The sequence below is a fragment of the Homo sapiens genome, chromosome 14 (assembly GCF_000001405.40).
Source record: "Homo sapiens chromosome 14, GRCh38.p14 Primary Assembly".
NCBI lineage: Eukaryota > Metazoa > Chordata > Mammalia > Primates > Hominidae > Homo > Homo sapiens.
In genome coordinates, this window is record NC_000014.9 from 78,868,309 (window position 1) to 78,895,398 (window position 27,090).

The 27,090-nt window shown below is 37.1% G+C and overlaps 1 protein-coding gene across 52 annotated transcripts in view, besides 2 other annotated features; it reads left to right on the top strand.

The window, feature by feature from the left end:
- Positions 1 to 27,090, top strand: part of NRXN3 (neurexin 3) — a 1,697,919-nt gene that overhangs the window by 697,936 nt on the left and 972,893 nt on the right. The gene's annotated exons all lie outside the window — the stretch shown is intronic.
- Positions 24,266 to 24,849: an enhancer, noted in NCBI's record as "OCT4-NANOG-H3K27ac hESC enhancer chr14:79358917-79359500 (GRCh37/hg19 assembly coordinates)". NCBI's record gives its function as "activates a minimal SCP1, AML or CMV promoter by ChIP-STARR-seq in primed H9 embryonic stem cells {active_cell/tissue: H9 hESC(primed)}" and the evidence as "EXISTENCE:reporter gene assay evidence [ECO:0000049][PMID:30033119]".
- Positions 24,850 to 25,432: an enhancer, noted in NCBI's record as "OCT4-NANOG-H3K27ac hESC enhancer chr14:79359501-79360083 (GRCh37/hg19 assembly coordinates)". NCBI's record gives its function as "activates a minimal SCP1, AML or CMV promoter by ChIP-STARR-seq in primed H9 embryonic stem cells {active_cell/tissue: H9 hESC(primed)}" and the evidence as "EXISTENCE:reporter gene assay evidence [ECO:0000049][PMID:30033119]".

Below are 27,090 nucleotides of genomic sequence, written 5' to 3' on the forward strand. Positions count from 1 at the left end.
AAATGCTGTGACCCTCTCTGCACTCAAAAGACAAAATCTTTAAAATTCTTAGTTGATCTGAAATTTGTGTTGATGGCCTACATTATTTTATTGTTAAAACTATGATTACAGGTGACTAGTCAGTAACAAAACATAAAAATTGTGAAAGTACAGCCAAACCCTGTTTTAAATGCTAGATGGAGTTAGTGTTTTGTTTCCATCAAAGCCACAATATTTCTACTTGAAACATAGGCCAGGGCAGTGGCTCACGTCTGTAATCTCAGCACTTTGGGAGGCCGAGGTGGGTGGATCACCTGAGGTCAGGAGTTTGAGACCAGCCTGACCAACATGGAGAAACCCCATCTCTACTAAAAATACAAAAAATTAGCCAGGCATGTTGGTGCATGCCTGTAATCCCAGCTACTCAGGAGCCTAAGGCAGGAGAATCACTTGAACCTGGGAGGAGGAGGTTGTGGTGAGCCGAGATTGCACCATTGCACTCCAGCCAGGGCAAAAAAAGCGAAACTCCATCTCAAAAAAATAAAATAAAATAAAATAAAATAAAAAAGAAACATAGCTTTGCAACTGAATGGCATCCCATTCACTTAGCATCATAATGGAATTCTGTTGAATAGCTTAAATTTAGGGCAATCAGAGCCAAAGACTCAGTTACGGAGTAACTGTAGGTCCCGCTTGGCATGTGACAGATTAGATTCCTTGGAGAAGTTAAATCCAGAAATGAGTCATTTTAATAAAGCAAAACACATAATATAAAGGGTATGGATAAGAAGCTATGAAAATGCCTAGGATAGACAAAAAGAAAGATATCCTGGGATAGGGAAAGGGACATTTGAACATCAAATTAAGCAAAGCCATGAAGTTTGGAATTTTTCTTGGCATTTTCTTCCCGTACCCTGCAAATATTAAATCAATTGTCAATCAATTGTCAATTTTACCTTTAACCATTTCTCTTCTTCATGTCTTTCTCCACACGATCACTGATCTAGGGTGAGCTCTTACTATCTTTACTTATAATAGGCTAGTTTATTCGCTATTTCTATTTCCAGGCATATCACTCTCAAAACCATCATCCAGATTATTTAAAACCTTAAATCTAATCACATCTCCCACTTGCTTGAAACCATTCAAAGTCTTCTAGTTGCCTACAAGATAAGATCTAAACTTATGTTTCTCTGTGGTCTGGCTTCTCCTTACCTGTGCCACCTCCTCTCATGATGAGCCATTCTGTGATGGTGCTTCAGCCTGTAAAATTGTTTGTGGTTTCAAAAATATTGCACTTCATTTCATGCCTCCATACCTTTTCCTCTTCTTGTAATGCCTTTTCATATTCATCTCCAACAGGGTAAGTTCTGCACATAATTCAGTGTCCCTTTTCCAGTTTGATGTTGCAGCTCTTCCTTCATCTCAAATATCCACTGGATTAGGTACATCTGTGTGTACTTCATCTTATCCATCCTGTTAAAGAAAAAATTATAGAAGGACAATTGTTAAAGCATGGTAGGGAAAGTTTTATTTAGGACCATCATGATAAATATATGGGCCACTGCAATGGAATTGTTTGCAGTGTAGGAGAGAGAATGGGCTCAACTCTGTATATAGCATGAACAAGTGAGAATTTTTAACCAAGGAACAGAGTAGAGGTCAGCAGACAGACAATGACTAAGAGGTAACATCAGGAGTAATGGGAATTCTGGCTAAACTGACCTAACAGAATTCTTGCTGAAGACAAACCAATGTGATCAGGTATCACCTGGGAGTTGGTGGAGAATGAAGAACTTAATCAGGTATCAAGAGTAATCAGATATCTAAAGTGGGGCAGTTCTTACTAAACTGACTTAGCACACTTCTTGCTAAAACCAGATTTTACAAGGAAGTGCACAGATGAGCCTAGGAGAAGGTAGAGGGGTCTGACTAAAGTTTTGATCAAGTAAAAAAGTCTTTATCAATCTTGGTATTTCCCGTTAAGCACAATGCTTGGAACATAATAGTTGCTCAACAAATGTTGGCTGATCTGATTATAAGAATAACATGGATAGATCATCCTTTGTAATCTATAAGTTTTTTAAAAGTTTATTTTTAATTATTATGAATACATTCCAGTTGTACATATTTATGGGGTATATGTGATATTTTGATACAAACCTGCCATGTGTAATGATCAAATCAGGGTAATTGGGGTATCCATCACCTCAAGCATTTATCATTTTTTTTGTGTTAGGAACATTATACTTCTGCTCTTTTAGTTATTTTGAAATATACAAATAAATTATTGTTAACTGTTATTACCCTGTAGGTGTTACTGAACGCTAGATCTTATTCCTTCTATCTAACTGTGTTTTCGTGCCTTTTAACAATCCCCCTTTTTATGTTCCCCTCCCCCACTACCCATCCCAGTCTCTGGTAGCCATCATTCTACTCTCCATCTCCATGAGTTCAATATTATTTTTAGCTCCCACATATTATTGAGAGTATGCAATATTTGTATTTCTGTGCCTGGCTTACTTCTTAACATAATGTGCTTCATTCCATTATTTCTTAACATAATATGCTTTAATTCCATCTACGTTGTTCCAAATGACAGGATTTCAGTTTCTTAGTAGCTGAATAATATTTCATTTTGTATATGTACTTTATTTTCTTTATCCATTCATCTACTGATGGATTCTTGGGTTGATTTCATATCTTGTCTATTGTAAATAGTGCTGTAATAAACATGGGAGTGCAGATATCTCTTTGATATACTGATTTCCTTTCTTTTGGATATATACCCAGAAGTGGCATTACTAGATCATATGGTAGTTCTATTTTTAGTTTTCTGAGGAATACTCCGTGCTGTTCTCTATAGTGGCTGTACTAATTTATTCCCACCAGCACACTAGAGTTCCTCTTTTTCCGTATCCTCATCAGCATTCATTATTGCCTGTCTTTTGGATAAAAGCCATTTTAACTGGGGTGAGATGACGTCTTATCGTAGTTTTGATTTGCATTTCTCTGATGACAATCTACAAGTTAATATGTCTGAAAATCTCTCAGTCATCCTATCATGTTTCTACTCTTCAATGGGAAAAATTAATTTATCAAGCCAGATTGTCATCTTTTCTTAAAAAATTACATGATATGAAATTCACAGCTTTCCTATTCAAGTGAGTTTTTCTTATGTCCAGCTAGAATCCCCTTTGGGTTAATATAAGTCTTTAGTGTACGAATTTGAATCTTTGCCTGAGGTGCTACACTGTTGGTTCTCTTAAAAATTTGTGGCATTATTTAATTCAGTAAAATTTGTGTGGATTGATTTGTATCCTTTGAATAGTTAGTATTATATAAATATCTCAGTCTATAAGACTCATCCAAAACTTTGGAATTGGAAGTCCAATCTCCTCTCCATTAGAAGTCTTGTCTTGGACATCCAGTCTCTATTTAATCCAATGATATGCTCCCTGATTTATCTACTCAGACTTTTTATTGTTAGTTAGGTTTATTCTTTATTTTAAACTGAGATCCGTCATCACAAAAGCCATTCCCATTTACCTGTTGTCCTTTGGCTGTATTGCCCTGGTTATATATTACTGGGTTTTGCTAAATGTTTCCTATCTTTTCTTTCAAGTTAAATCTTTATGTCTCTGTTAGATTATCACATATAAATGTGTAAAAACATAGATATTCCTGCAAAGCTTACAAGGAAACAATAAAACAGAAAAGACTTGATCTAACTCCTCCCCACCTCAATCCAGAGCTATTACTTTCACTCTTTTAGTTGTTTCTTCTGATTTTACTTCCATATTTCCAAACAATGTGGTTATGGTGCTATTTTTATTTTGATGTCTTTACATTCAATACATCAATGTTGATTTTAGGTTTTATTTTATAAATATCCTCAATTTTATCTTCCAATTCTTTTGTTGAATAAATCTTTGCTAATAAATATGTATATACATATATTTATTATATATGTATATATATTTACATATAAATAAATATATATACATATTTTAATATATATATTTTATTTTCTAAGGGCTTTATGTTGTATTATTTCTTATTTTGATAGCATTCAGATTGCAGTTTTTAAAAGATACAAATCATTTCTTTTATCATATTAATGATGAGGCTTTTAAAATCAGTTTTCTATTCTCTGCATTGTATCTCTTTTTTATTCCATTTTCTTTCTTTCTTTTCTCCTATGTACCTTAGTCTCTTGTTTCATATTTCTATTAGAGCCTATCCTACATTGTCTAGTTAATCTTGGCTGTTTGTTGTCACTTAATAATAAAACTCTAACAAACCATTAGAAACTGTATAATTATAGCAATTTTCAAAATTATTATTAGTGGGTGAAATTCACTAAATCTAAATAGGTGGGGATCTACCCATTTTATTAAGAGACCACCCTCCAAAATGTCAGATCTTTTCTCTCAAGTCATTTTTTTTTAGTAATTCAGTTTCTGAAGTCTTAGTTTTCTCTCTGTGCGTTTTCTGCATTTAGGTGGATAGCATCTTCATAACAGAGGAGAAAAGGGAGTCTGTTAGGCAGATTGGTCTCAGGGGTCAGTATATAAATTTACACATAATCCTACTATTTTTCTTATAACTTCGCACTGCTGTCACAGCCTGAGCCTCTTCAAGTCAGATTCCAATGCTCTTCTTAAACAGATTCTCTGAGTGTGTTTGCTGATTTTTGCTGCAGTGGAGAGGGTATTTCTCAGTTGATGTGATCCTTATATAGGCTTTTAGTCACTCCATCTGTTTTCAGCCCCACTGCTGGCTCTGCCTTCAGAAATATGTGATGCCTCCAAGTTCTCTAACTTTATAGGGTTCTACAGCAAAATATCCTTGTTTACTACTGGCTTCTTTCTCTGTAAAAACTTAGCTTTCCACTTTTTTCTGTCCTACTGTCAATTACCACACATCTATACACTTTTCATCTTCCAAATCTTGTTGACATTTCTCCTCTGCTATTGTCTTTTCATCCAGTCTCTTTTGCTACTGCGAACTATACAGCCTTTATTTTTTTCACAACCATTTTAGTAGGATTTTGAAAGAAAATACAGATAGAAAGCTTGTGTTTAGTCCACCATACTTAGTGAGAAGTTGCCATAACATTTTTGAAGATTGAATGTACAGTATGGAATATGTTCATTATCTCAGTACCATGTTTGGGCTCATAAAAATAAAAATAGCAGACATGAGTGTGGCCTTTATTCATTTGTTCAACAGGCTTTTACTGCTTGCCTATCATGGGAATGGCAAGAAACATCATTTCAGTTAACTGAAAGGACAAATACAATATTCTTAGTGATCTCCTTCCTTCAGTTCCCCACAGGAAATTTGAGGTTGATAAAACAGCAGCAAAAGCATATTTTTAGAAGATAAAGAGATGGTTCGTATGATGTACAGAAGTCTACTTGCTACTCAAAGTGTGATCAGTGGTCTAGCAGCATGCATCCCTGGGAGCTTATTGGAAGTACAGATTCTTAGTCTCCTCTCTGACCTACTGGAACACAATCTACGTTTTAATGAGGTCCCCAGGGTAGTCTTAAAATTGGTCCAAGGGAAAGGATTTTATTAGAAAAAAAGTGAACCTTCTTTTATCCCACCTAGGGTTAATGCATAGGAATTTTATCTGTAGTCAAGATCATAGGCACCATGTGAAGTGATTTTCTTTTCTTTCTTTTTTTTTTTTTTTGAGACAATGTCTCACTGTGACCCAGGCTGAAGTGCAGTGGCACGATCTCAGCTCACTGCAACCTCTGCCTCCCAGGTTCAAGTGGTTCTCCTGCCTCAGCCTCGTGAGTAGCTGGGATTACAGGAATGCACCACCATGTCCGGCTAATTTTTGTATTTTTAGTAGAGATAGGATATCACCATGTTGGCCAGGCTGGTCTTGAACTCTTGACCTCAAGTGATCCACTTGCCTTGGACTCCCGAAGTTCTGGGATTACAGGCGTGAGCCACTGTGCCTGGCATGAAGTGATTTTCAAACATAGTTGATCATAAGAACCTTGAAGGGGATTATTTGTTTAAATGTAGATTCTTCTTTCTTTTACATTGTCGTAAGTAATGTAATCAATGTGGAATAGGGCTGTAAACCTATTTTAAGGGCTTCTGAGATGCTAATCAGTCAGATTTGGGAACTATCAGGGAAAATTTTCAACCCTTTTCATCATGATGTCTCAGGGACCAAATATCTTCCATTTGCTACCCACCACTTCCTGCAACTCCTACCAGCCATCACTACAGATGTATCATATCAGATCCTATTTTCTTCATCTTTGCCTTCTCCTCAAATCATGTATAGTCTTGAGACTCATCTGTTCAGTTGGCAGAGTGTCTTCCTTCTCCCAAGACAACATCCTCGTTTTCATTTTTCCCATTCACTCTGTGCCACTGCTTACCTCCATGCCCAAATCTCCAGCTCTCTCTTTGCTGGCAGGTGTCATGTTCTGACACTGATTTGGGGTCAAGTCTGGGGTTCTGAATCAGGAGCCTGTGTTTGATGGGGAGTAGATGCCAGAAGGCATTGACAAGTGGCACCATGCAGGCGAATAATGCAAGAAGAGTCACCTTGTGGGAAAATTGATGCCTGATAATCTGTCCCACCAGGGTGTCAAGTCCGAGAGTGAGAATCCATCAATTAAACTGTGGGACGGACTTTAGAGAGGACAGACTTGAGCACAGGGGTGTGGAGAATTGGTTATGGAAGAAATTCCCAAGCGAAATGAATATAGTTGGAGGAAATGTGAAGAGGGTGGGGAGTTTCCTGGGCCTCTGCTGGAAGAGCAGAATGTAAGAGTTGAGAATGTTAAACCAGCTTGCATAACGTTTTGCTGAACAGTTTAATTCAGAAGCCAATTGAGATATCTGTTATTCCTGACAAACTTTAAAAGGTTCTAGAACTGGCAAAACAACTAGGTCTGAGCAAAGTGAAAAGACATAGTGTGACCAGCTGGGACAGGAACGCTGCAAACTTGCTAATTAGTCTGGAGGAAGCCAATTGCCCACATTTTTATGTACTGCTAATTACTAAAGTAGCAGCTTGCTATAAAGACAAAAATAACAGCATGATAGTTTCTTGAATATAGGATAAAGTGGCCTTTGGGATGTAGGCTCCATCAACTTTAAAAATATTCTGTAGTTTTTAAACTTAAAGCATACAGTGCCGTAATAAAAATACACTTTGGAAGTCAGTTATTCACTTTTTTCCATAGGCTGTTAGATGAGAAATTATAGAATATATGGTACCCTGTTGGGAATTTATACTAAAGGATTTTGTTTTAAAGATACCAACTCTCCATTTGAATACCATTTCTCAGCTCATTTTAAACATTTACCCAATTAAAAAAGCTAAATAAGTGATTTTAAAATGTGTTTTATTTTAAATACACAGTGTTTTTTTCTGAAAATGCTTTCTCAACCCAGTTATATCTGTGAAAAGAGAATGTCCTTTAGGAATTTACCAACTTTTCACGCAGTTGTAGCATTCATTGTGGGTGTTCAGTAAATATTTGCAGAAAGAATGAGTGAATGAGCAAAGGAATAAATACACAAAACCTTGTGTGCATGAGAACGATAGGATTTCACACTTCTAAGGAACAACTGAGAACAACTACTCCCCTTGTATTCTTTTGAGGATGAGGAAATTTAGGCAGAGGACAAGTAACTCCTCTGGGGCCTCACAGCTGGTTAGGGGCAAAACTGGGTCTGGGCCCCATTTCTTATGTCTATCAGCCCAGCAGTCTTTTCATTTTAAGCTTATTTGTATTCCCTTTAAGAGAATAATGAGTTATTTCTGCAGGGCTAATTCTGACCTGAATCATATTAAATCAGCAAAGCCTGGTTTTCTTACACTTTCAAATGCAGAATGACAAAAGTAAAGCATCTTTTAAAACAAAACAAAGCCAAAGCAATTGGAGTATTTGGTTTTATTGAGGAGTGATGTTTTCAAAGGCAGAGAAGGGAGAAAAATGGAAACTCTGTGCCATGGACTTAACTTGAAAGCTAAATGTCAGACTTGATGTAAAGGAGGAAAACCAGCCCTGAGGACCTATAACTGCATAAAAGAAAAAAAGCAGATTTCTATTGATTGCAGCAAATCAATAGAAGTTCATGTATTTGCGGATTTATTTATTGCTTGCATTGGTCACTGAAACCTCTAATTAGATTCATAGTGTACTTAGTGTATTGTAATTATATGTGGCAGAGCACGTTTGATGAAGGTGGATATAAGTAGATGAATATTTAGACCCAGCAATACCACTAATGACTCACATGCCAGGTAACATTTCTTTACTTGTAGGACTTATTAAGAAGTGGCTGTGAATTGTCTTCTTAATTAAAGGTTTGGTTACATGACCAAAGAGTTGTTAATAATGGTGCAGTCACTTATCAAATGTGTGATCCCACCTAACTTATTTATAATTCTGAACCTAGTGTTTCTCATATGTACAGATAGGTTCCTAATGACACTTACCACATGGGGTTGTTGTGAGGATTAAATAAGAGCATGCAAGTAAGGTTTTACATAGTGCATTCCACATAAAAAGCACTCAATAAATGTTAGCTATTATTACTGTTTTCAGTCACTCCAGGCGAGCTATATTGTAAAAAACCATACTTCCATTGCTTCTTCACTAGAGCCTAGCAAATCATTGTTTTCTACTGGTCTACTATTTGTGGATATTTCTACCCCAAGATCCTTTCCCAAGAGGACAATGCAATATAGTTGAAAGATTCTTCTTCACTTGGTGTTCAGAATATTTCATTCAAATTCAACATTCACAAGTGCAATTTGTACTCGATATTGTAGACTTTCCAGAAAGGTGAGGTTCATTCATTCAATTGCTTCTTGGCTGAGCAAATTTATATTCTCTTAAATCTTGATAAGTCAGTTAATCTTCTCTAAAATTGAGGAAGTTATACTCATTCCACTGGGGTGCTATGAGGATCGGATGAAGGTATATAGCAAAAGTGCTTATTTGTAAACATCATGTTGTTGAATGAATATTGGTTATTGATATTTTCTGAAGGTCCCCATTCCATGCCTTTTTCAGGGCCCCGTGTAAAGCCATCCCTTCTCTGAAGCTTTCCCTGACTTCTCTACCTTCCATCTAGATGTCAACTCTCCTCCTTTTCACTCTCACTCCATTTCAGTTGATCTTCCTTGGAATTCAAAATACATACTGCCTTGTAGAGCAGTGATTTGTATTTATTTCATTCCTTCTTCTACACTTTCAGAAGGAAGTGTCTACATCTCATTGACCTCATTGTCCCACACAGTGCATAACACAGTATCTTGCCTGTAATAATGCTCAACAAATATTTGATTAATGAATAGACAGGCTTTTATGAATCCATGTGTAATGTTAAGTTCTATGAATTATGTAGAAATAGTAAAAGCAAATAAAGACTCAATTACAATTTTAACTCTTCAACAAGATGATCAAATCCTTGAGGATTAGAAATTAATTAAAAATGAACTCATCCTTTATTCATTCATCCCATTATTTAATAAATAAACATAAATCGAGCACCTTCCAGGTGCCAGATACTATGTTGGATTCGAGGAATTTAATGCAATTAAAATAAATAGTTTCATCCCATAGAGGTTGCAGTTTGTAAGTAATAAGAAATAAGGAAATAATTCCAAACTTGCTTTTGCAGGATGAATATTTAGAACTTTCTTTATTAAAAGAGGTCAGTAAAACATTCTTAACTGCTTTTTCTATCCATTATTAATTCCAATAATTTGGTCACTGTTCATTAGTGAGATTAAATTTGGCTACTGAGAGTAGGTCATGCAAATCATCTTTCTGGTTAAAAAAAGGCCTGTAGCTACTGGGTGAAATTTGCTTTGAATTATTTTTCATAATCACAAGTAATTGGGCATGTCGTACTCAGTTATAAATAAATATACAAAAGTACACTGATCTACTTTCCTTAATAATGAGTTTGAAAACCATCGCTATGTTACTTAAACTTACTTTTCTTCACTATTTAAAAAGTCCAGAGGGCACAAGTAACCTTCAGAGAATCTTTCCACATTACAAGGCAAAATTATTTAATAAAATTTCTGAACATACATTTTAATTGAAAAGTCATAAGCAATTCTACACTGATGGGGAACCAGCCAATGTGATGCAAAATGAATTTCTCAGTAACTGTTTTGTGTGTAGGTAATTTTAAGTGAAAGAAATTTTTTTTCTATTGTACAAACCAAGACTAATTTATTCATTGTTGTTCCAAAGCAGCAGAAGCCACCAGAATGTCACATTTTATTTTTAATTCACAAAATTAAATATACTTATGGTGTACAATATTGAGTTTTGAAATATGTATACACTAGAATAGTGGACTCAAGCTAACATATGTATTACCTCAAATACTGATTTTTTTGTTGTGAGAACAATTAAACTCTCTCTTTGCAATTTTCAAGTATAAAATACATTGTTATTAACTGTAGTCATTATATTGTACAATGGATTTCTTGAACTTATTGTTCCATCTAACTGGAATTTTGTACCCTTTGGTCAAACATCTCTCTAATCCCACCCGCCTACACCACCTCAGCACCTGGTAACCACCATTCTACTCTCTCCTGCTATGAGTTTGTTTTTTTTTTAGATTTCATATATAAGCGAGGTCGTGCAGTATTTGTCTTCCTGAGCATGGCTTATTTTACTTAACATAATATCCTCAAGATTTGTCCATGTTGTTACAAATTAGGAGATTTTTATCTTTTTAAAGGCTCAATAATATTGGTTGTGTACATATACCATGTTTTCTTTTTCCATTTCCATTTATGTGTCGATGAACACTTAGGTTGATTCCGTATGTTTAGCCAAGGTGAATAATGCTGCAGTGAATGTTGGACTGCAGATATCTCTTTGTCATTCTGAATTCTTTTCCTTTGGATATATACCCTGTATCAGGATCACTGGATCGTATGGTAATTCTATTTTAATTTTTTGAGGAACTTCCATACTATTTTTCATAATGGCTACATGATATATCCCCAACAGCAGTATACCAGGGTTCCCTTTTCTCTACATCCTTGCTAATACTTATCTTTTATCTTTATGATAACAACTAATCTATAGTAATAGCTAATCTATAGCTAGGTATAAGGTGATATTTCGTTGTGGTTTTAATTTGCATTTCCCTGATAATTAGTGATGTTGAACATTTTTTAATGTACTTGTTAGCCGTCTGTATGTCTCCCTGTAGGAAATGTCTATTTAGATCCTTTGCTTATTTTTTAATTGGGTTATTTGTTTACTTGCTATGAAGTTGTTTGAATTCTTTATATATTTTAGATATTAACCCCTTATCATAGAATGACGCATTTTAAGACAAGGAATGAATCTTGTGAAAGCTTAATTCCCTGTCCTAATTCCTCACCCTTTACACCTCCTTGCACTAGACACACTCATTTACAAACTCTATACTTCTACTGTATTCCTATGACTGGAGGGTGTTTATGAGAAAAGCAGGTGAGCCTTAGAGTACCAGTATATCAATTTTTTTCCACAGTAGGTTAAGGGATTCATGGAGGGACCCCCCCTGCCCCCCAAATTGATTTGCCTTTTGCATTAGTCAAGGTTCTGGCAGGAAAACTGGTGACACTCTCAAATGGGGGTAATAATATAAGAATTGGGCCGGGCGCGGTGGCTCACGCCTGTAATCCCAGCACTTTGGGAGGCCGAGGCGGGCGGATCACGAGGTCAGGAGATCGAGACCATCCCGGCTAAAACGGTGAAACCCCGTCTCTACTAAAAATACAAAAAAATTAGCCGGGCGTAGTGGCGGGCGCCTGTAGTCCCAGCTACTTGGGAGGCTGAGGCAGGAGAATGGCATGAACCCGGGAGGCGGAGCTTGCAGTGAGCCGAGATCCCGCCACTGCACTCCAGCCTGGGCGACAGAGCGAGACTCCGTCTCAAAAAAAAAAAAAAAAAAAAAAAAGAATTGACCCATTTACAATAGTATAGGCAGGGTAAGTCTGTTGTCAGGGAAGCCAATAAAGGATGGAGAAGCACCTTTTTACCCATTACCTCTCTTAGGCTTGAAGGGGGAAAGGGAGTGAATATTTATTGGAACAAAGAGCCAGAGATGTGGCTGTAACTGGGAGAGGGCCTCCCAATAGGATCTGAAAAGTTCAGTAGTGAAATGCAAGCACTGCAACCCGAGGCCTGGCAGGGAGGAGACCAAAGAAACTGATATCCCAATCTCACTTTTCCCACTCCCTGGCTTTCTGCCAATGACTCCCATTTGATGCAGTCCAGAAAGATGGGCTTCCTAGAGAGCAGAGTAGGGTGGAAAATGGATTCAGAGGGCCATGAAGAGTATCAGAGTATCAAGAATACCTGTTACATTATAAGGAATATATATGTATATATGTATTTATTCATATGGTACATGTGCTTACAAGCAGGAAGCTATTGTGTATATATAAGTGTTATGTATTTACGCATATGGTACATGTGCCTACAAGCAGAAAGCTATTAATCCTTTCAAGAACCTTTACAGGCATTATTCATTTAATATTGATAAAACCATTTCAAATGAGCTGATAATGGTTTGGCTGTGTCCCCACCCAAATCACATCTTGAATTATAGTTCCCATAATCCCCATGTATCATGGGAGGGACCCAGTGAGAAGTAATTAAATCACGGGGGCAATTACCCTTATGCTGTTCTCATGATAGTGAGTGAGTTCTCACAAGATTTGATGGTTTCATAAGGGGATTTTCCCCCTTTTGCTTGGCATTTCTCCTTCCTGCTGTCATGTGAAGAAGGATGTGTTTGCTTCCCCTTCCACCATGATTGTAAGTTTCCTGAGGCCTCCCCAGTCATGTGAAACTGTAAGTCAGTTAAACCTCTTGCTTTATAAATTACCCAGTCCTGGGTATTTCTTCATGTCAGGCTGAGAATGGACTAATACAGTAAATTGGCACCAGGTAGTGGGATACTGCTGTAAAGATGCCTGAAAATGTAGAAGCACCTTTGGAACTGGGTAACATACAGAGGATGGAACAGTTTGGAGGGCTCAGAAGAAGAGAGGAAGATGGGGAAAGTTTGGAACTTCCTGGATACTTGTTGAATGGCTTTGACCAAAATGCTGATACTGACATGGACAATGAAGTCCAAACTGAGGTGGTCTCAGATGGAGATGAGGAACTTGTTGGGAACTGGAGTAAAGGTGACTCTTGCTATGCTCTAAAAAAGAGACTGGTGGCATTTTGCCCCTGCTCTAGAGATCTGTGGAACTTTGAACTTGAGAGAGATGATTTAGGGTATCTAGTAGAAGAAATTTCTAAGCAGCAAAGTGTTCAAGACGTGACTTGGGTGCTGTAAAAAGCATTCAATTTTATATATTCACAAAGATAGAATTTGGAATTGGAAATTGTTTAAATGAGAAGCAGAGCATAAAAGTTTGGAAAATTTGTAGCTTGCTGATGTGCCAGAAAAGAAAAACCCATTTTCTGAAGAGAAATTCAAGCCAGCTGCAGAAATTTGCATAAGTAATGAACCAAATGTTAATCACCATGATAATGGGGAAAATGTCTCCAGGGCATGTCAGAGACCACAACAGTCCCTCCCATCACAAACCTGGAGGCCTAGGAGGGAAAAATGGTTTCCTGGGCCAGGTCCAGGGCTCCCCTGCTGTGTGCAACTTGAGTCCCAGCTGCTCCAGCCATGGCTAAAATGTGCCAAGGTACAGCTCAGGATATTGTTTCAAAAGGTGTAAGCCCCCATTCTTGGCAGCTTCCACATAGTGTTGGGCCTGTGATTGTATAGAAGACAAGAATTGAGTTTGGTGAACTTCTGCCTAGATTTCAGAGGATGTATGGAAACACCTGGATGTCCAGGCAGAAGTCTGCTGCAGGGGCAGAGCCCTCATGGAGAAGCTCTACTAGGGCAGTGCAGAAGGGAAATGTGGGGTTGGAGCCCCCACACGGAGTCCCTACTGGGGTACTGACTAGTAGAACTGTGAGAAGAGGGCCACTGTCCTCCAGAACCCAGAATGGTAGATCCACTGACAGCTTGCATTATGTGGCTGGAAAAGCTGCAGACACTCAACAGCAGCCATGAAAGCAGCCAGGAGGGGCACTGTACCCTACAAAGCCACAGGGGCAGTGCTGTCCAAGCCATGGGAGCCCACCTCTTGCATCAGCATGCCCTGGATGTGAGACATGTAGTCTAAGGAGATAGTTTTGGAACTTTAAGGTTTAATGACTGCCCTATTGGATTACTTGCATGAGGCCTGTAGCCTCTTTGTTTTGGCCAATTTCTCCCATTTGGAATGGGTATATTTACCCAATGCCTATACCCCCATTTTATCTAGGAAGTAACTAACTTCTTTTATTTTACAGTCTCATAGGTGGAAAGGACTTGCCTTGTCTCGGATGAGACTTTGGACTTGGACTTTTGAGTTAATGCTGGAATAAGTTAAGAATTTGGGGGACTGTTGAAAGGGCGTGATCATGTTTTGAATTGTGAGGGCATGAGATTTGTGAGGGGCCAGGGGCAGAATAATATGGTTTGGCTATGTTTGCACCTAAATCTCATCTTGAATTTTAGTTCCCATAATCCCCATGTGTTATGGGAGGGACCCAGTGGGAGGTACTTGAATCATGGGAGTGGTTACCCTCATGCTGTTCTCATGATAGTGAGTGAGTTCTCACAAGAGCTGATGATTTTATAAGGAGGTTTTCCCCCTTTTGCTCAGCACTTCTCCCTGGTGCCACCATGTGAAGAAGGACATGTTTGCTTCCCCTTCTGCCATGATTGTAAGTTTCCTGAGGCCTTTCCAGCCCTGGTGAACTGGAGTCCATGAAAGATCTTTCCTTTATAAATTACCCAGTCTCAGGTATTTCTTCATAGCAGTGTGAGAATAAACTAATATATAAGCCTTATTATTCTCATGTGATATAACAAAATATATTAATGTAGATGTGTTTACAGACATCTTCTTTATTCCAGCTCAACAGCCCAAATTCTTTTCACCTTCTGTAAAGAAGAGTGACTGGAAGAGAGACTAAGTTAATTGAGATAATTAATAAGTGAGTGAGAGAATAAATGAATTATAGAGGAGGAACCAAAAGCACAGAGCTGGAAGTGGAACAGGAGGTTCTCAGCAATTTTAAAAGTGAAGGCACCGTAGCAGTGGAAGTATATAAAGGGAGTAAAGTCAGGCTGGGAAAACAGAAGGCAAAAATAGTGTTCATCTAGACTGTGTGTCAGATTACTTCTAATATCCTTCAAGGTACTTGAGTGAGGAATAATTTCCTCTTATGTTTCTATTGGTATTGGGTTGTCCTTTTGGATGAGGCTCAGCTCAGAGACTGAACCATGTGATGTCTGTGTATTTTAGGGTTGCACTCACTTTGCATTAATTTTAACTGAGAGTTAAAGGGGTTAAGTGCCTTGCCTAAGATCACATACTCAGAAAATGCAGAGAGCTTACTCCAGCCCAGGTTTGTTCATTTCAGATACATTAGTCTCAATTCAGCTTTGGTTGAAGTCACCTGTGATGAATTTGTTGCATGATATAGTTTTCTGGGGGAAAGATTTCTTTTAATACATGGTAAGTATATAGTACCCCTTTTATAGTTGGATAGATTAGTTCTTTAAATTTCTTTTGTAAAGAGGATAGATTAGTAATGGTCAAGTGTCATTGAGTGATTCAGACGAATAGTTCCATGATTAAATCTTGTTTCCTTTACTTTTTGTATAATGCTAATGTATCCCTTAAAATAAAAACTCCATTTAGTTTTCTTCAGTTCATTTAATCATGGCATTGTTACTGTAAGAAAGTTCTTCTCCTAATGGTTTCTAATTGCTCTTAAAATCTTGTTTGAATCCCAGAACAAATCTCTGTGTTATATGTCACCAGTGACCCACCCTTACTTTCTCTCATTTACTGCCTTTCATAAGCAGAAAGCATTTATTTTTTGGGTATTTTTGCTTATTTTTTAAAAATAAATAACATTGATTTTTAATCCTGGGATATGGAAGATAGTTTAAAGAAAACAGCAGTGTCGGTGGATAGCAATTACCACCAACAAAATATCTTCTGGGTATTTGATCTATGAACTTTGTTTGCACTCCTGCCCACATCAGTTTTTGTAACCCTTCCAACTTCCTCCTAAGGGCAAACTCACTGACATTTCCACAACTGTTCACCTTTCTGATCCTGATAGGATTACTATATATTTTGTTTAGGTTTCTAGATATGATAAGACTATCTACCTATCCAACTTGGATCTGTGGCACTTTATTTTCCTATTAATTTTAAATTCAGGATTTAAAAAAGATACTTACATAGTGATAAAATGAGTTGACTCACACCCTGCATTATTCTAAACCAAAATTAAGTTATATTAATACATTCTCTTTAATCAAGGGTAAATTCACATGCCCCATTGTGGTTAGTGAAGTGGTGAAGGGAAAGTTGAAGCCAAACAGCCTATGTCTTAATTCTAACTCAGCCACTAACTAGCTGTGCAATCTTGGACAAGGCCCTGAAACTCTCTGGGTCTCAGTTTTCTCATTTCTACTAAAAGGACAATAATAGTACCTATTACCTAGAGTTAGGAAGATGAAGTTAACAAAGTGATAGTGTATTAAAGCGTACCTGACACATAGGAAACATTCAGTATATATTGTCTGCTATTATTAAAGCTCCTACACTTATTAGGTAGGTGAACTTAATCAGATTATTTGACTTTAATAAACAGCAATGATCATATTTATAAAGTAGGGATTGTAAAATATAATGCAGTGAGTTTACAAGTGTCATAATGTGAAATATATAAATATAAATTACATATATAAAATATATAAATATAAATTACATATGTAAAATATATAAATATACATTATATAAATTATGTATGTAAAATATATAAATATAAATTACATATGTAAAAAGTACATAGCCATGTTTTGACTCATAAAGAGCATTCATTAAATGTGGTTACAATTTTTAGAAGACATTATCAGTAATATTATCAGTAATAGAATAAGACCTACAAAAAAGGGTAGGGGAGAGAGTTTCATGTTGTATAAGGGGAGTGTTGATTTAAAAGCCTTAGATTAAAATCTGCAAATGAAACTAAATTAAAGGTGTTTTGAAGTGATTTTAACCGCCAAACAAATTGCATTTAATACATAATAATTACTTTATTCTCCCATTAAAATAATTATTTTTAAGTGAATAACAGCTTCTTTGACCACCCTACCTGTAGTTGCAGTAACAGTCTACCAGTTGTCTTTCCAAATTTGTATGATGTCATCAGCAGCTTAATAGAGCATTAGATGAGAATGTCTGAGCATTACTATGCTGACTTTGTAAAATTGTAATCCAAAAGCAAAGAATCTTGACAGCTTAGACAGTTGGTTTGATCTTATTATTAATGAACAGAAGATATATCTTAGGCTATTTTAAAAGTGAATTTATAATAAGATTTCTACTTCCTATGTTAGCTAGAGTAAACACTAGCTAATAAACCACCCTCCTAAACCTCAGCAAACTAGCCCAAGAAAAGAGTTTAATTTTGGTATTAGTATTGCTCACTCACATAAAGCCCAAGCAATTAGGAGCAGAGGAAGGGATGTGAGGGTTTGCTCTATAGAGTCATAGAGGATCCAAGGTGACAGAGCCTCTGTCATCTTCCACACAGGCCTTCCAAGATGGTTCTAGCCAAATCCAGCTAGCCAACATCTCTGGAAATGACAAGCATCACTTTTGGTCATATTTCATTGGTCAGAAGTTAGTCAGAGGGTACCTAGTTGCAAGGGAAGCTGGGAAATGTAGTCTGGCTGGCATTGCTTTGTTGCACTAACTCAGTCCTGTGGAAAAGGAGCACAAATATTTGGTGGACAGTAAATGATCTGTGTCATATCCTTATTACTCAGATCCATAGTAATAATGTCTGTTTTTATCTCCTTTTCTAATTCCTAGTAAAGAAGCAATCAAATAAAAAGAAATAAAAACACTGAACAGTATGTGTTCATTTGTCTCATCCATTATTGTATATAGTGCCTGATACAGAGTTCAGTATATATTCAGTATATATAGTACCTGATACAGAGTTCATGATATTCAATAAATATCATGAGTGATCAAACACATATTCTCTGCCTTCTTCTCTTCCTCCCTTCCTTTTTTCTCTTTTTCTTGCTTCTTTTATATCTCTTTCTTTTTTTCTGATCCCAAACACTTTAGAGTCTTTAATTTGAGCTAGATTCTATGATAAGTGATTGAAGAATCAAAGACATATTTAACCTTGGGGAAAGTCATAATGGGAATAAAGGAAAAAACATTAATATAAAGTATTAGTAAACATTTCTAAATTACTGATTTCATTAAAATATTTAACAGTCTTATGAAAGACTAAAGAATCATTTTGAGTTCATCTACTAGGCATGGACAAGCCACTTCAGGAAGTTTAATATCCTTCTTTGTGCCTTTGGGTTTAATCTGTGCTAGTGATACCCCAGCCTTGACAGAATTGCTGCCCCAATGGCCCAGGCTGTGGGATTCTGCACAGGAAAGACCACTTCATGGTGAAAATTCTCTAAAGTTTTGCTGTGAATCATACCATAACCTAAGATCTGTGTTATGGTAAACTGGATACTGTAGTGGTGGAGGATGTCTAACTTCGTTTTGTGTTTCACAGAGTTTCAAGAGTTTTCCTGTAAGCCTCTTTAGTCTTTGTATATTTAATGTGCTCCAATCCTACTTACATCTCAACTGTGTTCTTTCTGATGGCGATGGTGATGATAGTGCCAATCATTTATTTAGCACTAACAACTGTGTGCTCGACACTGTACCAATATTATTAGAACTATTATTTCTTTTACTCATCACATCAGCCCTATTAGATATTTAGAGATTTGGAAAATTATGTTCAGATAGATTTGGTAACTTGTCTAAGGTCAGACATGTTAGGAAAAGGCAGAGCTAGAATTCAAATACAGTTTTGACTGAGCTCAAAGCTTGTGTAATCACCACTTAGGCTGATGATTTGTTTAGGCTATTGAGAGAGAAAGATTATTTTATCTTTCTTTTTTTTTCTGGAAAGAGGGATGTATACAGATCTTTTAGTAGTAAAATTTTGCCACTACATTCAGTGACAAAAACAGGAGTTACTTTTGCACCAACCTGATAACTCTTCAAAATGTTTGGTGAGGCTGGACTCAAACATAAGTGCATGGATGCCTGATTTTTTTCCCCCAGTATTCAAGAACCTCAGGGTTTTCCTGAATGTGCTATAGACATTCCAGGGACCTCCTAAGTTTTGAACATTGCATTATTATGAAGATTAGGTCCATAAGTTTTATCAGATTTTCTAAAATACGAGTAAACATTTTTTAAACCCAAGGTTTGCTGCCAACTTCTCTCCTCTACAGATCCTGGAAAGAAGAAAGAAATGGCTTCTAACAAAAAGAAGGGGAGGATTTCCAGCTCATTTCTAATTCAGGCTCATTGGAGAAGGAAGTGGCATGGGTGACGATAAGCAGCAGTTTTTATGTCTGAAGGAAACTGAAAACAGCATCTCACTGGGGTGGCCAGGAGCTCTTCTGCTGAAGTCTCTGTGTATCCAGAATGCCTGGGATTGGATTCTTGTCCTGTTGCCTCTGACTTCCTAGAAGTGGCCTCTGGGCCGTCTTTATTTATTAAATCATCTGGGTATGATCTGGCTCTGATATTTTGGCATTCGGGAGTGGCAGACCAAGCTCAAATTGCAATAGTCCTTTAAAAAGATGTTTCTAAAAGCCAGATATGCACTGACATTTCAGAAAGAACATTTGTGCCTAATTTCCAGCTGCCAAGTTATAGTTCATCATTCAGCTTCATATTGGAGGCCTTCAGGCTTTGATTTATTTAGGAAACATTGGTGAACAATGGGATCATGATCTGCAACATGACAGATGTAGGAAGTCCATGTCCCCTAAAGGAGGTTTTCTGGAGACTCCTAACAATTAAGAGAATCTGTTCTGTTTCTAAGTTGACAGCAAATTATTGAATTCTGAGTATCCAGAATGAGTTTGGGGAGTAAGAGTTGTGAAGGGCAGACATTAACTGCTTATTTAAGACATAATACCTGTCCTTTGGAAACTTATGGTTTGTTAGGGGGTAGTGTCCTAGAAACAATGTAAGACAATTTGTTACCAAATGATAAATAGAACTTTAAAACAAAAATTTTCCTACTGTCAGGGAAACTAAGTTTTCCTTTTCTTTGAAGGCATGGAGAAGTGCCGAGCAGTGTGTTACTTTTCCTCTATTCCCTGGTTCGTTCCTCACCCACGTCAGTTTTTCTTCATATTTGTCTTTATTGGAACCCACAAAGTTTATTCAAAGTTATTATCAGTTTCTTCCCTTTTGTGAAGAAAATTCAATTTTTATGAATTAGATTTTTAAGATGGCTTGTAATGTACCCATACAGCCAGGTATAAGAAATTACCTGGTAGCTTCACTGATGCAGATGACAGATACCTGTGGGGACTTACAGTCTAGTTGGGAGAGTAATCACACACATACACACACACACACACACACACACCCCAGATTTGGCATGAGAAGAACAACGCTGAAGTCGATATCTGCCTATTTTGTTTATAATGGTGTGACCTTGGGCAAGTCACTTAATTTTTCAATGTATTTTCTCATCTATAAGATGGGAGATATCTTATATCCTAAGGCTATTGATTATGTCAGATGGAATCTCATCTGAGAAAATACCTTAGAAATTGTACAGTATGATAAAAATATTGACTTTTATTTTCTAAATCATACATAGCAAGATGCAGGACTAGTTTAATTGTTGTCACTTTTAGAATCCGATTTTCACATCATCATTCCATTTCTTATGATATTTAACATGACAAGCAAAAGACCTTGTTCAAAGGGGAAGAACAAATAAGATTAATTCTCTGTAAATCCTTTAAAATTTTATTATCCATCTCTTCACTGGGGAAATGTCTAGATACATTTTCCTAAGTGGTTCCATCTTTCTGTAAATGGCTATTGACCTGCTGAGTGCAGTTTTGCTTTCAGAGAAGCATTGCACTTGGTGTGTGATTTGAGTTTGGGATCATGACCTTATTTCCTTTGCACTTGATTGCTTTACTTCACCAACTGCATCCCTGATTTTGATATTATCTGTGGCTAGCTCCTTTCATGATTTTGGGAATGGCTACCTCTCAGTTTTCTGAATATTTTTTAGTACTTGCTGTTACAATGTAGACATTGCAATAATGTTCTAAAATTATATGTACATTTACTTACTCAACACAAATTTAAAGAGTACCTGATAAGAGCTGGTACTCTGAGTACTGAGCACTGAGTACCTGGTAGAATCATTAATACAGAAGACAAAGCTCTGGCCTCAAGGATTCTGCAGTACAGCAGCAGGGAGGTAAAACACACATACCACATTTGTTTACTGCAAGTGTGGGAGGTAGATAGGTGTCCCCTAAAAACATGTGTTCCCAGAACCTGTGACGTGACCTTACTTGGAAAAAGGGTCTTTGCAGATGTTTAAGTTAATAATCTTGTGATGAGATCATCCTGGATTGTACAGGTGGGCCCTAAATCCAGTGAAAACTATCTTTGTAAGAGACAGATGAGGAGAAGACGTAGAGACTTGTGAAACAGAAGGCCATGTGAAGACAGAGGCAGAGATTGGAGGGATATAACCAGAAAGAATGCCCATAGGCAGCAGAAATTGGAAGAGGTAAGAATTGGATTGTTGCCTAAAGCCTTCAGAAGGAGTGTGACCCTGTCAGCATTTGGATCTCCGACTCTGGCCTTTAAAACTGAGAGAGAAAAAAATTTCTGTTGTTTTAAGCCAGTGAGTTTGTGGTAATTTTTTAATGGCAGCCATGAGAAACGAATACAACAAGGAACAGGATAATCTACAAAATACATGAATTATACAAGAGCATCAGAAGTTTGTGGAAATTTAGTATAAAAAACACCTCTTATTGAAAGTGTGATTGTTACTATACAGTCAGTCCAGAAGCACTGAATTATGAAAATATCATTGCCTGGTATGTGTCAGTTATGTTTATAATAATATAAATAATCTAAGCACACATTGTGTCCTGTAATTTTAATTTTACTCTAACATCCCATGCAAAGGTTTAACTGTAGGTGGCCATTTCATGAAACAAATGCCAATTTCTCATGGACCAATGTTCTCCCAGCAGAGGAAATATATCTTCCTGCCCACACTGGGCTACAACATCACTAAAATTACAAGCAGAAAGGAGGTCTGCATTTCTATAGCCTCTTCTTTTCTTATCTAGTAGTAAATGGTTATAAACTTGACATTTTCCAGTTACAAACATAAGTAATAATATTGTAATAACAAAAGGGAAGGTCCAATCCTATAGATCCCACTGATGGTGATAGAGTAAATCAAGGAATTTGGAAGAAGTGGTATCTAGTTTCACAAGTTGAAAAACCAGAATTATCTTCAGGCATTCATAATTTCAGTGTCATGGGTTAAGGTGTTTGGGGGCAAAATGAGTTTCTGGCTGTGGGATGGATTTGAGTGGTGTTAGCAATCATTCAATAACAGAAGCCACTGAAGCAGCCTTCGTCTCCCTAATCAAAATGCTGCCATCATACCATTTTGCTCCCAAAATATGCTAAAAGTAAGGCACCAACGGTAATAAGTAGTATAGGTAATTTTTAAGTACCATAAAAGTTTACAATATTAACAGTTACATTTGTTAATTTTGTCTGGCTTAGTTGGTGGTGACTTCAGATGGTAACTGGGTGGAATAAGACTTCTAAGCCCACATAAGACAGGATGGTGTGATCTTTCTGGGAGGGTGCCACGTCTGTCCAATATTGATACAATAGTGCACCAGTGGCAGCTTCTTGGTTGGGCCAAGTAAGCCTTCTCAATGTATTTACTCCTTCAGTATTTATAACAATCAGGAAGCTGTAATTATTGTCCATATTTTACTAATGAAGTAACTAAAACTTAGAGAAGATAAGCAATTTGTCTGAGGTCATGCTCTAGTAGTGAGCAGAGCCAGAATCTGAACTCTGGCATGATGACTATAGCGTCTGTGTTTTTATGCATTACTGATAGGTATGGGTGGTATACTGGAGACTTAGTGAGTATTTAGGTGTGAGTAACGTCTACAGTGACGTCAGGGAGCTCACTGTACATCCATGACATGAGAAATAAAATTCCCACGCTTCCCTGTCTTGAAGCTGAGGCAATATATTACATGGGTTAACTGACAATTCAGACAGAGTGAGAGATTCATTATATTCACCACAAATGAACACAGATGGACACTCTTCAAATAAAGCTTCCTATTGAATTTTAATAGTGCTCTTCTGCAGAACACATTTGAAAAATGGATCATAGCATATTCATATTTTCCTTTAGCTTGCCAAATGTGAGATGATTAAGAAACCTGCTTAAACTTTAAATATTCTTACCATACACATGCATTTTTCAAATGTATGCGTCTGCAATAAATATTTGTTAAATGAATATGAATGTATATACACAAACATACATGAAGCAATAGGCGCACACACATTTAATTTGATAAATATTTGTTGAGTATCTACTGAATATAAACTTGGGCTGAAGAGTTATGGAAATACAAAGACAGAATTCTTTTCTGTTCCCAAGAAGCTTTATAAGGGGAAGTGAGACATGCTCAGTCTTGTTCTGGTGGCAGCTCTCAAAGTGTGGTCTCTGGCTCGGCAGTGTTGGCATCACTTGGGGACTTGTTAGAAATGGAAATGCTTGTGCCCCACCATACACCTGCTAAATGAGAAACTGTGGCTGGGGGTCTAGCAATTTATGGTTGTAAAAGTCCTCCAGGGAACTCTGATGCACGTTAAAATTTCAGAACCACTGGGCACAGGAACGCTTTAATGTGCTAAAGGATGCTAAATATTACTTTCACGTGGAGACATCTGAGAAGGCTTGAAGAAAGAGATTGTATTTGAGCAGAGTCTTGGAGAACAGGTAGATTTTGGCTGATAGAAACAGAGAAGGGAAATAAAGTCAAAGAGAAGAGAGGAAGTCAACTTAGCTCGTTTGAGTTGGCAGATAGGCTGCCCATGGATGAAAACCCAGATTAAAATCAGGCAGTGGAAATCCCTGAGCAACACGCTTGTGAGTTTAGACATTGTTCTGAAAGACATTGGCAGTCATTGAAGGTTTCTGAGTGGGGAAGAAGTGTGATCAAAACTACCTTCCTTTTTTTTTTTTCTTACCCAGTGAATGTAATTCAGCACTTGTACTGAGTTCATATTAACAGAACTTGATGGTTGTAAATCAGTCTTTTCTTCCTCATTAAAATCACTTCACCATTAAGAATTATCTATAGGTTATGGCTGGAATCATGTTATCTCTGCTCTTTCTTGACTATTCTGACACAGCAGGCAACTTAATTTCAACAACTCGGTAATGCCCCCATCTTCTGTGTGTGTGTGTGTGTGTGTGTGTGTGTGTGTGTGTGGTGTTTGCTAAGAAGGAGTCACACGGCTGCTTTTGAATTCAGCTGGGCTTTAGGAAGCTGCATAAAAACAAAGAAAAAATGTTGCTGCTTGCTAGTGCATTCTTTGTTATGTAGCAATCAGAAGGATGACTGTGCTCTGAAGTGGTGCAGGTGGCCTCTTCTGATACTAATTCCAGCGTCTCAACTAGTTCAGCATCAAAAGGGAGTTCTCTGGAAGGGAAATAATTCTGTCCCTACCCCTGATTGCTCCTATTTGCCCAGCATTGTGGGCACCTGCTTGGCCACCCACCTTCCTTTTCTTTGCCATCCACTTGCGTCATCTTTCTCTTCCCCTGGGTCAGCCTGTATATTTCAATCTATCCACACCCTGCGCAAGCTCATTCATTCATGGGCTTTCTCTCTGCAATTTTCATTGTGCCTCCCTTTGTTGGCATAATTGATTCCCTGCTTTGCAAGAGCAGGTGGATGAGTTGGTTTATTCCTTTAAAAAATTCCTCCTCTTTTCTCTTTCATTGCTCTGATCTTTAGTCAATCTTTGGTTCAGCCAGCTTGTTCTCCTTCTATTGACTAATCTCTCTCTGTATCTTTCATAATGGTGGTGGGAGAGTCCATGCCGAATCTCCTGTTGGTTGAAGAAGGTGAAAGTCAATTGGTAAAGTCACTGTGATTTATAATGTTCAAACTGGGGAGGGATTGAGTCGTGAAGACCAGAAGTACTGATAATCATTTAGCTTATTTGCTGGAAGGCTCCACTAGACCCTAATGAAACAATCTCATTTATCTTCCCCACATCCTAATGGAATTGCAGAATTAATAGTAAAACCATTAAGCCTTCTTGAGCATGTCTCATCTAACACTCCAGGATCTTTGTTACACATTTTTATTTTTCTCAATTTTGGATTTTTTGAGGGTGCGAATTTACTTAGCTGAGAAATTTAGAAGTCCTTTATTCAGTCTAGTATAAAGTGTCCAGATAAAAACATACCTTAGAGATATTGTGGGTGCAGTTCCAGACCACCACAATAAAGCAGATACCACAATAAAGCAAGCATATAAATTGTTTGGTTTCCCAGTGCATATAAAAGTTATTTTTACTCTATAGTCTATTAAGTATGCAATAGAATGATGTCTAAAATAAAATGTACATACCCTAATTATAAGTATTGTGTTGCTAAAAATTGCTGATGATAATCTGAGCATACAGTGGGTCATAATCTTCTTACTTGTGAAGGGTCTTGCCTTGATATTGACGGCTGCTCACTGATCAGGGTAGTGGTTGCTGAAGGAGGTTAGGGTGGCTGTAGCAATTTCCTAAAATAAGACAACAATGAAGTTTGCTTTATCAATTAACTCTTGCTTTTATGAAAGATATCTTTGTAGCATACGATGCTGTTTGATAGCATTTTACCCACAGTAGAACTTCTTTCAAAATTAGAATGAATTCACTCAAAACTTGCAGGTGCTTTATCAACTGAATTTATGGAATATTCTAAATCCTTTGTAGTCATTTCAACAATGTTCACAGCATCTTTACCAGGAGAAAATTCCATTTTAAGAAACTACTTTCTTTGCTCATCTATAGAAGCAACTCTTAAAATCCATTCCAGTTTTATCATGAGATGGCAGCAATTCAGTCACAGCTTCAGTTTCTACCTCTAGTTCTAGTTCTCTTGCTACTTCCACCACATCTGCATCTACTTTCTCCACTGATGTTTTGAACCCTTCAGCCATCCATGAAGATTGGAATCTTTTCCAAACTCCTGTTAATGTTGATATTTCAAACTTCTCCCATGAATCACGAATGTTCTTTATGGCATTTACAATGTTAAATCATTTTCAAAAAATTTTCCATTTGCTTTATCCATATCTATCAGAGGAATCACCATGTCAGTTCTAGCCTTACAAAGTGTATTTTTTAAATAATAAGACTTGAAAGTTGAAATTATTCCTTGATTCATGGGCTAGAGAATGGATGTTACGTTAGCAGACATGAAAGCCACATTAATCTTCTTGTACTCCCATCAAAGTTCTGGAGTGACTAGGTGCATTGTCAATGAATAGTAACATTTTGAAAAAAAAAAAAATCTTTTTTTTTTCCTTAGCAGTAGTTCTCAATAGTAGGCTTAAAGTATTCAGTAAACCATTTTGTAAATAGATGTACTGTCATCCAGGCTTTGTTGTTCCATTTACAGAGCACAGGCAGAGTAGATTTTGCTAAATTCTGGGGCCCTAGGATTTTTTGAATGGTATATAAGCATTGGCTTCAACTTAAAGTCACCAGCTGCCTTAGCCCCCAACAATATAGTCAGCCCGCCCTTTGAAGTCAGGTATTGATGTCTCCTCTGTAGCTATAAAGGTCCTAGGTGGCATCTTTTTCCTATATAAAGCTGTTTCATCTACAGTAAAAATCTCTTGCTTGGTGTAGTCACCTTCATCAATTATCTTAGCTGGATGTAACGGATAACTTGCTGCAGCGTCTACATAAGCACTTGCCGCTTTACCTTGTGCTTTTATGTTATAGAGATGATTTCTCTCCTTAAACCTCATGAACCAATATCTTCTAGCTTTAAACTTTTTTCTGCATCT